This window comes from Homo sapiens, chromosome 14 (genome assembly GCF_000001405.40).
Source record: "Homo sapiens chromosome 14, GRCh38.p14 Primary Assembly".
In the NCBI taxonomy this organism is placed as follows: Eukaryota; Metazoa; Chordata; class Mammalia; order Primates; family Hominidae; genus Homo; species Homo sapiens.
The window spans coordinates 40,109,265-40,123,253 of NC_000014.9; the positions used below are offsets into that span (position 1 = coordinate 40,109,265).

The following is a 13,989-nucleotide window of genomic DNA, read 5'->3' on the forward strand; positions in this document are numbered from 1 at the left end:
GCCTCCCAAAGTGCTGGGATTACAGGCGTGAGCCACCGCGCCCAGCCCAAAATCACTACTATTCTTATACAAGTTATTAAGATCTTTTGCCTGAATAATGCCATAGTATGTTGAATAGTCTGTCATTCGCTTTAGCCTTTCTACAATTAGTTCTCCATATTGCAAGTGCTAATGTGACCATGTTGCCCTGCTTTCCACACTTAAAATTCTTTAATGATTTCATATTTTTCTTTGGACAAAAGCAATCTTTTTGATATGACTTGTAAGACCTCCCCAAAAATGATCTCTAACAACTCCTAATTTTTTTGTTCCAATCACACAGCATGCTTCAGTCCTTTGTATCCAACATACTTTCCATAAGTATCTGTTTATTTAGTTTAGTTATTCTCAAATTTCAGCTCAAGCATTGCTTTCTCAATGTAGCCTTTTTGATCTCCATGATAAAATTAATCACCCCCATGAAATCATTCAGTATCCTCGTAATTCTAGTCTTTTAGCACTTCCCTCAGTAAGAACTTTGCATTTGTACCATGCTTATTACATATCTACTTTGCTCAATTATAAGCTTCCTCAGGAAAGACATTATAACTTTTGTTCCTTATCTTTGAGTCATTAATGTTCAATTAATCATTTATTGTTTGACCCTATGACAATTAACTCTTGTATTCTTTGAATTGAACAAGTCTGTTTCCCCAGCAGGAGTTCAATAAGTATATGATAAATAGGAAAGTGGTATTGTAAGAATAATAAATTGGAGGTTCCATAGCTTTACAGCAAAAATACACTTAGAAACAGGCCTGAGGAAATGACAGCCTGGACAGTTTTTGTGAGTGAAGAGAAGATAAACTGATGCATTCAGTCATTGAATCATACATTCATTCTAAAGGCATATAGCAAATACCTACATGCAAGGCATTGAACAGATAAAATTAAGGTATGTACAAGGTTTAGAAGAGAATGACAGTGTCTGTATCTGTAAATCAAGTACATTGACAGAAATAAAGAACGAAGGCAAACAAGCTGGTTGAAAAGAAAGTCAACAATTCTGTTTTAAGTATGATAAATTGAAGTGTGGATTTATGTAGAATATGTGTTTGGCAATTCAGTACTGGAATTTAGAAGAGGAGTTGTGTCTAGAAATAAATTGAGATTGAGAAATTTGCATGGTGAAGCTAGTTTAAAGTTATGACTGTAAAGGCAGTCAAAACGGGCCATATACTGTGCAATCTCAATGAAAATAAATGTCCAGAATAGGAAAATCTATAGAAATAGAAAGTAGATTTGGGGTTGCTTAGGGTTGGGAGTGAGTGTAGAGTGATAGCTAAGGAGTACAGGATTTCTTTTGGGAGTAATGAAAGTTTTTAAAAAATGATTATGGAATGGATACACAATTCTGTGAATATACTAAAAGCCATTGAATTATATACTTTAAGAGGGCAAACTGTATGGTTTGTAACTTATAAAGCTGTTAAAAATAAAGCCATAACTATAAATGAGTTATCAGAGGGATTAAAAAGTAAAGAGGAAAAATTTATAGAACCAAAGAGACTGACTCTCAAGAATATTTATAATTGAAAGATAGGAAAAAGGAAGTAGGTAAGGAGGCAACCAATACTTTCAAAAATCTCCTTGAGAAAATGCCCTGAATTTGAAAACTTACATATAATTGTGGTATTTGACAGTGCTCATAAGAACATTTGTAGTGTTGAAACTAACAGTTTCAAGAAGGTAAGTCATAAATAAATAGGAAGTAGGTAAACAAAGTAATAGGCACATTTTAAAGACTGTCCTGAGGGTAAAAGGAGAATGGCAACTCTAAATAGCAAGAGGACTTGTCCAACTCCTGGACCTTCAGTAGATTGAGTAAACTGTCTAATCTGCAAGTTCTCATAATAGGCCAAGAGTGTCAGAATGGCATATCCAAGTGTAATCCTTAGACAGATAAGAGTAAAGTATGACAGAGAACAGAAATGCACACCAGGACCAAAGAGTGAAAAGCAAGATCACAAAAGTGGATTAGATTCCAGAGTCATGAACTCTCCAGGAAGCAGTTGGAAACGAATACATAAGGAGATGTTTATGCTTTTTGAATAAATGAATGATTCAATAACTGGATGCATCGGTTTATCTTCTCTCCACTCACAAAAACTGTCCAGGCCTTTATTTCCTCAGGGCTGTTTCTATGTGTATTTTCACTTTGAAGCTATGGAGCCTCCAGTTTATCATTCTTAAAATATTGCTTTCCTATTTAACATATACTTATTGAACTTCTGCTGGGGAAACAGATTTGTGCAATTCAAAGAAGGCAAGATTTAATTGTCATAAGTTCTGGGTCCAAGGCTTAATTTCTTTATTTTACTACATTGTGATTATGGATAGGTTACCTTTTTTTGCTTCAATTTCATCTTTAAACTGGAAGAGGTGAGGTTAGTAATGCCCATTCCAGAGGGGATTGGAAAATTTGAAGTATATAGCGTGATACCTAGTATATTACAGGTACTCAAAAATATTGAATGAAAGAAGACACTCAAGTGTTATCATGTATTTTCAAATACTTTTAAATTTAAGGAGATTAACTTATTAATTAATCCTGTTTCAAACAGCAAGAGAGGAGTGATAAAAGCTCCAAACAATTTTCTAGGAACAAGAAATTTTGTAGCTTGTAGCCTAAATACAAAGATGGATAGTACACTTTAATGACAATTCAGTAGTTTAATTGAAGAAAGACTTCTATGTTTCAAATTTTATCTTTTTCAATATGTTTTGAAAAAAAATTGGCGCATAACTTCTCTCTAAGACCTTCTTTCAGGGCCATGTGAAGCAACAGGACTTAACTCTGGTCTGTGTGGCTGCTGTGGCACCTGTTGAGACCCTGTGGCAGAGGAGTTGCTTCTCCCTGCCAGGGTCAACCAGCATCCTTGGGCATTGCAGACACCAGAATCACTCCCTCTCTGCATGTTTCTTTGCCAGCAGCAGAAAGTGAAGCTCTTAGGGAATAGCGAGAACAATAGTTCTTGGGCTAGGAATCTCCTCCTTTTCCTTGCAAGGTGTGGAAGAGAGCTGTGGATCTGTGCTAATTATGCAAAGAGTCACTCATTTTAAAGGAAAGCAGTTATTCTAGAAATAAGAATTTAGTTTTCCTTCATGTTTCAGGTGCTTGCCATTATTTATATAATCCTCAAAACCACTCTTTCAGATAGATAACAGTTATCCCCATTTTATAGGCAATGAAACTGACGTTCATGAATTATTCAAATGTCACATCCAAGCTCACACAGCCAGGGCTATGTGATATGATAGGGCTGATATTTGGAGCCAGATCTTCTTTAGCATAATACACTGAAGAATCCAAGTCCAGTACCAGGGCAGCCAGCAGGGGTAGGGGGAGAACAACTAATTTTGTTTTCACGGTCATCTGAGTAATTAATAATGACGAGTGGGAGTAGAGGGTAGTCAGCTCTCAAATAGTGAGCAGGATAGGCCAGGTGCCGTGGCTCATGCCTGTAATCCCAGCACTTTGGGAGGCCGAGGCGGGTGGATCACGAGGTCAGGAGATCAAGACCATCCTGGCTAACACAGTGAAACCCTGTCTCTACTAAAAATACAAAAAGAAATTAGTCGGGCGTGGTGGCAGGGGCCTGTAGTCTCAGCTACTCGGGAGGCTGAGGCAGGAGAATGGCGTGAACCTGGGAGGCGGAGCTTGCAGTGAGCTGAGATCGCGCCACTGCACTCCAGCCTGGGCTGCAGAGTGAGACTCCATCTCAAAAAAAAAAAAAAAAAATTGTTAGCAGGATAAAGCCTTCAGTGTTGGCTTTTGGAGAATTTATTTTTAATCGGATTAACAGACTCGCAGTTGCTTAAATTATTAAAATATTCTGTTGGCCCTTTTTAATGAGACTCTGTAATCCGGTCTTGATGTATTTTGTAATAATATGTTTTCCACTTTATCTTATTAACCATGTGATCCAGCAACAACTATTGCCTCAGGGGCCTACAGACAACTTTTTTTCTTGCCTTTTAATTTTTTAAAAACTCTATTACTGCATGCTGGGAATATTTTCTCCCATTGCTGTGAAGACTTCCATGATCATGGAGATCCACAACTGTCTCCCCTTGTCTGACCCTCTGTAGAATTTATAGACAACACTATATCCTTTTGAGACTGACTTGCTTTCTCAATGAGACTATACAATTCTCAATAGTTTTTATACCTGTGTGTTCTCACTAGTGTCTAGTATGTTATACACATAGAATGCAGTCAATACCTATTATTCAATGGATAAAGTGAAATTTTCTGTAGGCTGAGGAAAACAGATACCATCAAGAAAGAAACTGTCTTAGAAGATTAATTTGTGAAAGTTTAGTAAAAACTATAAAACAAGAACTAAATTTTAAAACCAGAGATGGAAAAACACCTAAAAGAACAATGAAACAGTTTATCAGTTAATTGAATTCAGAAATTAATCATTTTTATATGCATGCAGTGTCCCTGTTTCTACTCTAAATTCAAGTATGAATGCCAACACTGAATTCAAATAGAACTTTTGTGAATGAGTAACTAGCTCAAGGTCAGCAATAGATGGAGTATGCTGCTTGTCTGTTTCCCAGGAAGTATCCTGGAAGCTATGGGTGTAACTAAAAGGTCACTACAGTACCCCATATTTTGCATTGTTAAAGCTTCTGGGAATATGACTCTACATCAAGATGCCATCTCTTAAGACTACTGAAGTTTTTAAAGCAATAAGCTTTTGTAACCTTATAAAATATCTTTTCCCAGAACCACCTCCTAAAGCATAGAAGAAAGATGTAATAAAGGCAAAGTCATTGAGCATCTTTGTACAATATTGACAGTTTGAAAACTATATTTAGGTATCAGGAACCTATGCTTAGATATACATGATCATACTTTCATTTATTGGGCATTTCCATTCAAATAAATTAATATTGATTAACTGATTTTGCATCCAATTGTCTTCACCTAGGTAATATCATTGAACTATTGTGTGTGTGTTTGTGTGTGTTAATGATGTTGAGACTCAGAGTCTCTGGTCACTACTGGATTAATATTGTGGATGTTTTAACAAAAGCAGAAATATATGACTCTGGAAACGTCACTTGAGACTTCTCTCTTTTTTTTTTTTTGAGACGGAGTCTCGCTCTGTCGCCCAGGCTGGAGGGCAGTGGCGGGATCTCGGCTCACTGCAAGCTCCGCCTCCCGGGTTCACACCATTCTCCTGCCTCAGCCTCCCAAGTAGCTGGGACTACAGGCGCCCGCCACTACGCCTGGCTAATTTTTTGTATTTTTAGTAGAGACGGGGTTTCACCGTGTTAGCCGGGATGGTCTCGATCTCCTGACCTCGTGATCTGCCCGCCTTGGCCTCCCAAAGTCCTGGGATTACAGGCGTGAGCCACCGCGCCCAGCCAAGACTTCTCTTAACCTGATGACTGAATCCAAGATTCCTTTATTTAAGCAAATGTTCTAAAACACTGATATGGCCACTGCTGGATTTTTAATAGTCATTTTTCACTGAATGCACACACTGGCATTCTAAATCACAAACATTATTATCAATTTAAAAAGCATATAACATTCATCTGTTTTTCTCCCACTTTGATTTTTAGTCCAGGGGTAACTCTGTGAAAGCCAGGTCAAATGTTTTCTGTATACAAATTTCAAAGTTTATCAAAGGTGAGACACAGAGAAAATTATACACACACACACACACACACACACACACACACACACACGATAGACATATATATTTCACATACACCACATTTTCTTTATCCACTCATTTAGGTTGGTTCCATATCTTTGCAATTGTGAATTGTGCTGCAGTAAACATATACATGCTGGAGTCTTTTTGATACAATGATTTTTCCTTTGGGTAGATATCCAGGAGCAGGATTGCTGATAGATAGGTTAGTGCAGCAGTAATTAATTAAAGTAATTTTACTATTAAAGTAATGGCAAAACCCACAATTACTGTTGTACAAACTGAATACTTTTGCTTCTTTAAGAAACCTCTATACTGTTTTCCACAGTGGTTGTGCAAATTTACATTCCCACCAGCAATGTATACGCATTTCCTTTTCACTACATGTATGACAACATCTATTGTTTTTTTACTTTTTAATAATGGCCATTTTTGCAAGGGTAACGTGGTAGCTCATTGTGGTCTTAATTTGAATTTCCTGATGATTAGTGATGTTGAGCATTTTATTTATATGTTCGTTAACCATTTCTGTATCTTCTTTTGAGAAGTATCTATGCCATTTGCCTGCTTTTTGATGGGATTTTTTTTTTCTTGATGATTTGAATTCATTATAGATTCTGGATATTAGTCTTTTTCTCCAACTCTGTGGGTTGTCTGTTTACTCTGCTGATTATTTGTTTTGCTATGAAGAAACTTTTTAGTTTAATTAGGTCCCATTTATTTATTTTTGGTTTTGTGGCATTTGCTTTTGGGGACTTAGTCATAAATTCTTTGCCTAAACTAATATCCAGAAGAGCTTTTCCTTGGTTGTCTTCTAGAGTTTTAATGGTTTAAGTCTTAGATTTAAGTATTTGATCTATCATGAGTTGATTTTTTGTATGAGAGATAGGGATCCAATTTCATTCTTCCACATGTGGCTATCCAGTTTTCTCTGCACCATTTATTAAGTAGGATGTCCTTTTGCCAATTTATGTTTCGTTATCTTTGTTATCTATTTCAAAGATAAAGCAGTAAGGCTGTAAGTATTTGGCTTTATTTCTGGGTTCTCTATTCTGTTCCACTGGTCCAGTGTCTACTTTTATAGCAATACCATGCTGTTTTGGTAACTATAGACTTGTAGTATAATTTGAAGTCAGGTAATGTCATGCCTCTAGATTTGTTCTTTTTGCTTAGGATTGCTTTGGCTATTCAGGCTCTGTTTTGGTTCCATATGAATTTTAGAATTTTTTTTCTAATTCTGTAAAAAATGATCTTAATATTTTATAGGAATTGCATTGAATTGTTAGAATGCTTTGGGCGGTGAGGTCATTTTCATGATATTAATTCTCCCAATCCATGAGTCTGGAATGTATTTTCTCTTGTTTGTGTCATCTGTAATTTATTTCAGCAGTGTTTAATAGCTTTCCATGTATGGATCTTTCACCTCCTTGGTTAAGCATATTCCAAGGTATTTTAATTTTTTTGCAGCTATTGTAAAAGGGATTGAGTTCTTGATTTCATTCTCATCTTGGTCATTGTTGGTATATAGCAGTGCTACTGATGTGTGTACACTGATTTTGTAACCTGAGACTTTACTGAATTCATTTATCAAATCTAGTAGTCCTTTGGAGGAGTCTGGGGTTTTCTAGGTATACAACTAAATCATTGGCGAACAGTGGTAGTTTGACTTTCCTTTTTTACAATTTGGATGCCGTTTATTTCTTTCTCTTGCCTGAATGCTTTGGCTGGGACTTCCAGTACTGTGTTGAATAGAAGTATTTAAAGCGGGTGTCCTTGCCTAGAGTCAGTTCTCAGGGGGAATGCTTTCAACTTTTCCCCATTCAGTATGATGTTGCCTGTGGGTTTATCATATATAGCTTTTATTATTTTGAGATATGTCCTTTTTATGCCTAGTGTGTGGAGGGCTTTTATTATAAAGGGATGCTGGATGTTTTTCAAATGCTTTTTCTTGCATCTATTGAAATGATCATATGGTTTTTGTTTTTAATTATGTTTATGTGGTATATCACATGTATTGACTTGCATATGTTAAACCATCCCTGCATCCCTAAGATGAAATGCACGTGATCATGGTATATTACCTCTCTGATGTGCTGATGTATTCATTTACCTAGCATTTTGTTGAGGATTTTTCCATCTGTGTTCATCAGGTTTATTTTTTCCATCTATGTTCATCAAATATATTGGTCTGTAGTTTTCTCTTTTGGTTATGTCCTTTCCTGGTTTGGGTATCAGGGTGATACTGGCTTCAGTTCATTAGGGAGAATTTCCTCTTTCTCAGTCTTTTGGATTGGTACCAATTCTTCTCAGTACTCCTGCTTATTGTTGGTTTCCATTTCCATAAAATATCTTTTCCAACCCGTTTACCTTGAGTTTTTATGAATCCTTACATGTTAGATGAATCTCTTGAAGATAGTAGATATTTGGTTTGTAATTTTTTATCCATTCTGCTAATCTTTATCTTTTAAGAGGAGCATTTAGGTCATTTATGTTCAATGTTAACATTGAAATGTGAGGTACTTTTCCATTCATCATGTTAATTGTTACCTAGTGATATGGTTAGGCTCTGTGCCTCCACCCAAATCTCATGTTGAATTGTAATTCCCAATGTTGGGGGAGGGACCTGGTGGGAGGCAATTGGATCATGGCGGTGCATTTCCCCTTGCTGTTCTTGTGATAGTGAGTTCTTAGGCAATCTGGTTGTTTAAAAGTGTGTGGCACTTCCCCCTTCATTTTCTCTCCTGCTTCACCATGGTAACACATGCCTGATTCCCCTTCACTTTCTGCCATGATTGTAAATTTCCTGAGGCCTCCCAGCTATGATTCCTGGGGAGCCTGTGGAACTATGAGTAAATTAAACTTCTTTTCTTCATAAATCATCCAGTATCAGGTAGTTCTTTATAGCAGTGTGATAATGGATTAATACACCTAGATACTTTATTTTCTTTGTTGTGTTATTTTTTATAGGTCTTGTGAGTTCCAAGAGTCTTTCAAGAGGTCTATTCTGGTGCATATTAAACTGTTATTTCAAGATTTAGAACTCCTTTTAGCATTTCTTTTAGGGCTGGTCTTGTAGTGACAAATTCTCTCAGTATTTGTTTGTCTGAAAATAAATTTATTTCTCCTTCATTTATGAAACTTAGTTTTGCAGGATACAAAATTCTTGACTGACCATTATTCTGTTTAAGGAGACTAAAGATATGACCCCAATCCCTTCTGGTTTGTAAGGTTTCCACTGAGAAGTCTGCTGTTAGTCTGCTAGATTTTCCTTTATAGATAGGTTTCCTGATGCTTTTGCCTCACTTTTCTTTGAATTTTTTTTTTCATGTTGGCTTCAGGTAGCCTGGTGACTATGTGCCTTAGTGGTGTCCTTTTTGCAATGAATATCCTGGGAGTTCTTTGAGCTGCTTGTATTTGGACATCTAAATTTCTAGCCAGGCCAGGAAAATTTTCTTCAATTATTCCCTCAAATAAGTTTTCCAAACTTTTTTGCTTTCTTTTTTCGCTTAGGAACATAAATTATTCTTAGGCTTGGCCATTTTACATAATCCCATATTTCTTGGAGGCCTTTGCTCATTTCTTTTGATTCTTTATTCTTTATTTTTGTCTCATTGGGTTAATTTGAATGCCTTGTCTTTGAGCTCTGAAATTCCTTCTTCTATTTCGTCTAGTTTCTTAATACTTTACACTGCATTTTGTAATTTCCTAAATGTGTCTTTTATTTCCAGACATTCTGAAGTTTTTCTTTAAAATATCTATCTCTTTAGAAAAATTTTCATTTACATCCTGAATTGTTTTTTTAAATGTCTTTATGTTGGTTTTGTCTTTCCCTGGTATCTCCTTGAGGAGCTTAATAATTCACCTTCTGAATTCTTCATCTCGTATTTAAAATATTTCATTTTGGTTTGGATCCATTGCTGGAAAGTTAGTATGATTTTTAGGGTTGTTATAGAACTCTGTTTTGTCGTATTACCAGAATTATTTTTCTGGTTTCTTCTAATTTAGATAGGCTATTTGTTCTAATTATTCCTGAACATTTTTTATTTGATTTTTTTATATTTCTTTTTCCCCCCCTCAAGGATGTGACTTTAATATGTGTAGTGTATTATACCCTAATTTGGCTTGTGATGCTTTTAGGAGTGAAGAACATGTACAGGTTCCTTGGTTATAGAGAAACTTTTAATAATGGCTTTCTCAGATACTGGCTGTACTGGCAATATGCTGGTATGTGAGCAGATTATCTCCTATGGGGTTGGAATGGCAGAGGTCTCTTGAAGCTTATCTCATTCCCTCGTGGTTTGCATTTTTAATTTATTTATTTTACCCCAATATTTTATTTACTGGGTTGAATAGTTCGGGCTTCATGCCAATAGGGGACGTGTTCCTGGGTAGAAACCAGTTGTGGCTAAAGCAGGTAAATAAATGCAATAATAAGTTGTTGGCAGATGTCACCACCTTGACAGAGGTGGCTGGAGGAGCGCTCAGAGAAATGCACTGAAGTCTTATCAGAGGGAAATATGAGACCCACCTCAGAGCCCCTGCCAGGACAGCAGGAAAGCAATTCACCTCCCAGACACAGTTCTGACTCAGTGTTCTGGCTCTTCAGATCCAACAGACACTTTTTTAATCTGCAGGAATGTTGATGTCCCAAGTAGAGAGGAGCTGACTCTACCCCTTGTGCAAATCTGAACCTAGAGGGCCTCCTTCTGTGGGGATGTGGTCACCCCGAAATGTTCCAGAAGGGTTGTCTTTAGGTGCACCCACGCTGAGCTCCTGTGGGAGACGTTGGGTTCATAATTTTTGAAATGTAAATATATAGGGAAAAATAGTACTCACATCTTCTTGGCACCTTGGACTTAGCCCAGGGATCTAGTCCAGAGCATTTGGCACTGGTAGTTCAGAGCAATTAACCAGAGAGAGGGCTACAGATCTAACTTTCATGTTATATGAAGAGTAAAAAGATTCTAGAGGAAGTGAAAGCGTACATCCCCTACCTTACATCATATACCTTTCCATGTCTCTGGAGGCTAGGGCTTTTCACAAGCACACTGAGAAATCCAGGGGCATTTAATCTCCCCAGAGCTTCCTACAGGCTAGATTTATTGATAGATGCTTTCCAATATATTATTTGATTGCCACAAGAAGTCTGCATAATAACTATCATTATGCTGAGTTTAAATTTGAGAAAAACAAGGCTTGGCAAGTATAAAACAATCAGCTCCAGACTCTGCAGCTAGAGTAGTTATTGGTTTGGTAAAAAAAATTCTGCCTGGCTCCAAGACTATCCTGTTTTCCTCTGTACCACACTGAAGTGAAGGAGAACATATTCAAGTAATCTCTTGTCCTAGGATATCTTTGACAAATAAAACAAGAAATTACTTTAAAAAATGCTTTCACCATATAGAAAGTTAAAAACCTAAAGGAAAATGAAACCACATTGATACCTGAAGTCTGGGTCAAAATCAGGAGGGAAAAAAAGCCCCCAAACTTGAAGCTTTTCTTGTAATTTTCAAAGGAAAACATAAGTATCTCATATCAGAAAGCAGACCTTTCTAAAAAGCAAAACTATTTCAAAATATGTTATTTTCTGGCATTAATCCTCAGATGGACACATCTCTCTTTATTCAGTGACTTTTGCTCTTTCAGGTTAACCCCCAGAGACCCATTCTGAGAGCTAAGATAAGCACTGCTAAGCAAATGTACAATAACACATCACAGATCTGAGAAAAGTTTTCTACACACCTAAAGCCTAAGGATAAAATTTAAATAATGGAAGACAGCCTAAAGCTTGAGATCCAGATGTTAATACTCTACTAATGGCACTCTTTAAGCCTGAAGTCAAATGCTAGGCAAAAACAATATTTTTCTTTTGTTGAAATAAATAATTTCTATAACCTGAGAAGAGCAGATCAACTAGCAATCTCCTTGTTTCCTTGGTACACATCCCTCCCTCATTCCACAACAAAACAAAGGAAATCAATCAAATTAAAACATAGCAAAACATAGTGGTTTTATATTGGAAAATTTTTTGCCTTCTTATTTATTTATTTGAGACAGAATCTTGCTCTGTCACCCAGGCTGGAGTGAAGTGGTGCAGTCTTGGCTCACGGCAACCTCCACCTCTGGGTTCAAGTGATTCTTCTGCCTCAGCCTCCCAAGTAGCTGGGACTATAGTGATGCACCACCATGCCCGGCTATTTTTTTTTTGTATTTTTAGTAGAGACAGGGTTTTACCATATTGGTCAGGCTGGTCTTAAACTCCTGACCTCGTGGTCCACCCGCCTCTGCTTCCCAAAGTGCTGGGATTACAGGCGTGAGCCTCCACGACTGGCCTTTGCCTTCTTAAGAAGTGATAAAAGGAATGACACTTTCATAAACTAACAACCTTTCCAATTTAGAGTCCTGGAAATATGATAGCAAATAATACACAACATTTTACAATGTGTCCTCAAAATTACAGTTTTGTAGTGTTTTAAGTAATTGCGAATGATAGAACACTTATTTGTAAAACATCAAATGACTAACAGCTGATTCAAGGATTCATTAGAAGAATAAAGGAAAGAGCGATATGATGCACTGTTCAGATTGGAGGTAAGATCTTTTTTTAAAATTTAATATGAAATAATTTGTTGGGGGCGGGAGAGGTGAAACTGTAAGGACATATAAACATTTTCTTGATATCCCCCCAATAAATTAAACATGGTCAGAGAAAACTTAAAAACTAATAAATCTGAGGTTCTAAAAGCATCTGTAAAGAACTTATCAAGATTATTTTATTTTTTTAAAAAGCTACAAACTATAAATAGGGGCTGATAGAATTGTGTAAAAGGGAACATGAGGATTATATATTTTTGTCCTCTAGATATGCTAATGTACTTCGTCACTTTCCAAATTCACTGTATTGTGAAGCTTTCTGTCACACAAGCCTTTTCAGCCTTACCTCTTATGCCTCAGAACCTCTCAGCTACTCAAGGACCTGCCAAGTTTTTATTCTCCAGCATCTCAGGTCCTTGTCGTCTTCAAAGGTTAAGTTTAGCTTATTCATAATTTTCCTATTTGGTCTTTTCATTTAGGTTGAAAGTCCCTTGAAATCATGAGTTTTCTATTACATGCTGTATAGGTCTACACAAAACTCAGTCTGGGACTGGGATGTTATTTGCAGGAAGGAATATTGAAAGAGGTTTTTGGAACTGCAAGACATAAGTCAGCAGCCCTGAATGAAACATGTTTAAGCAATTCACTTAAGTGGGTTGGTTCCCTTAGGAAGATTCTAAAGGAGTGGACACTAAATGGAGGGTGGCTTTCATAAATGTTAAATATATGATGCCCATTTGTCCTTGACTTTGGGAAAAATCAATATCTTTTATTGACAGGTAACCATTTGACTAGCTAGGCATAAAATTAAGCCTTAAAATAATGTTCACATCAATGCACATCAGAAGAATCATTTATAAAATAACATATATTAGAGACCAAGGCAGAAAATATAAAAAGCTTAAAAACCTATAGCAATAGGACTTTATCCAAGTAATTTATTCACTAACTCTACAAAATAATGAAGTTAAAACTGGTCTTTACTATTCCCCAGAGAACAATATCACTACAAAGCACTAAATTACCCCAATTACAACTTGCTTAATTTGGGAATTTAGAGACAAATAGAATGGAGGAGTGTGAGGCAGTATCAGTCCCCCAAAGTGTGAGCTAAAACAGATACAACAGACGCTATGGGACCTCACGTGGGTGCTTTTATAGTAGTTACATAAATTTTTTTATCTCATATCACAAGGTTTAATTCCTTTCTTACATGGAGCTAAGAACACTTCATTTCCTTCTTTGAAATGTGTGATAAAATATCATGCATATGAAACCTCTTAAAGAGCCAATAAGATTAAAAATAGATCAGGATTAAATAGGGTATTAAGATTTCTACTACCAGCATAAAAGTGTAATTCATTGTACTGTAGGCAGTGGGAAAGAGGTTTTATGGTTAGGCTTTCCTTTTTTGATCTACACAAGTCACACTGGACTTAGTGAAGTTTTCACACTACATATAAAGCAGCTGAATTTATATCTTCAGATTCTAAGGTTTTCTACATCCTGGATAATGTTTACCTTTTAGTGTAATATACAGCCACCCCACTTAAGAAACTGGTCTTATTAACCTTTGAAAATCTTTAAGCCTTACCCTGTGTTTAACATATTCATGCTTCACTGAGTAATGTTCTGTGATTCATTCTCATCGTTTCTTTCTTTCTAAAGCTGATTAATT

The 13,989-nt window shown here is 36.4% G+C and overlaps 1 annotated feature.

The window, feature by feature from the left end:
- Positions 13,649-13,728: an enhancer, noted in NCBI's record as "active region_8293". NCBI's record gives its function as "activates an Ori minimal core promoter by ATAC-STARR-seq in GM12878 lymphoblastoid cells {active_cell/tissue: GM12878}" and the evidence as "EXISTENCE:reporter gene assay evidence [ECO:0000049][PMID:35858748]".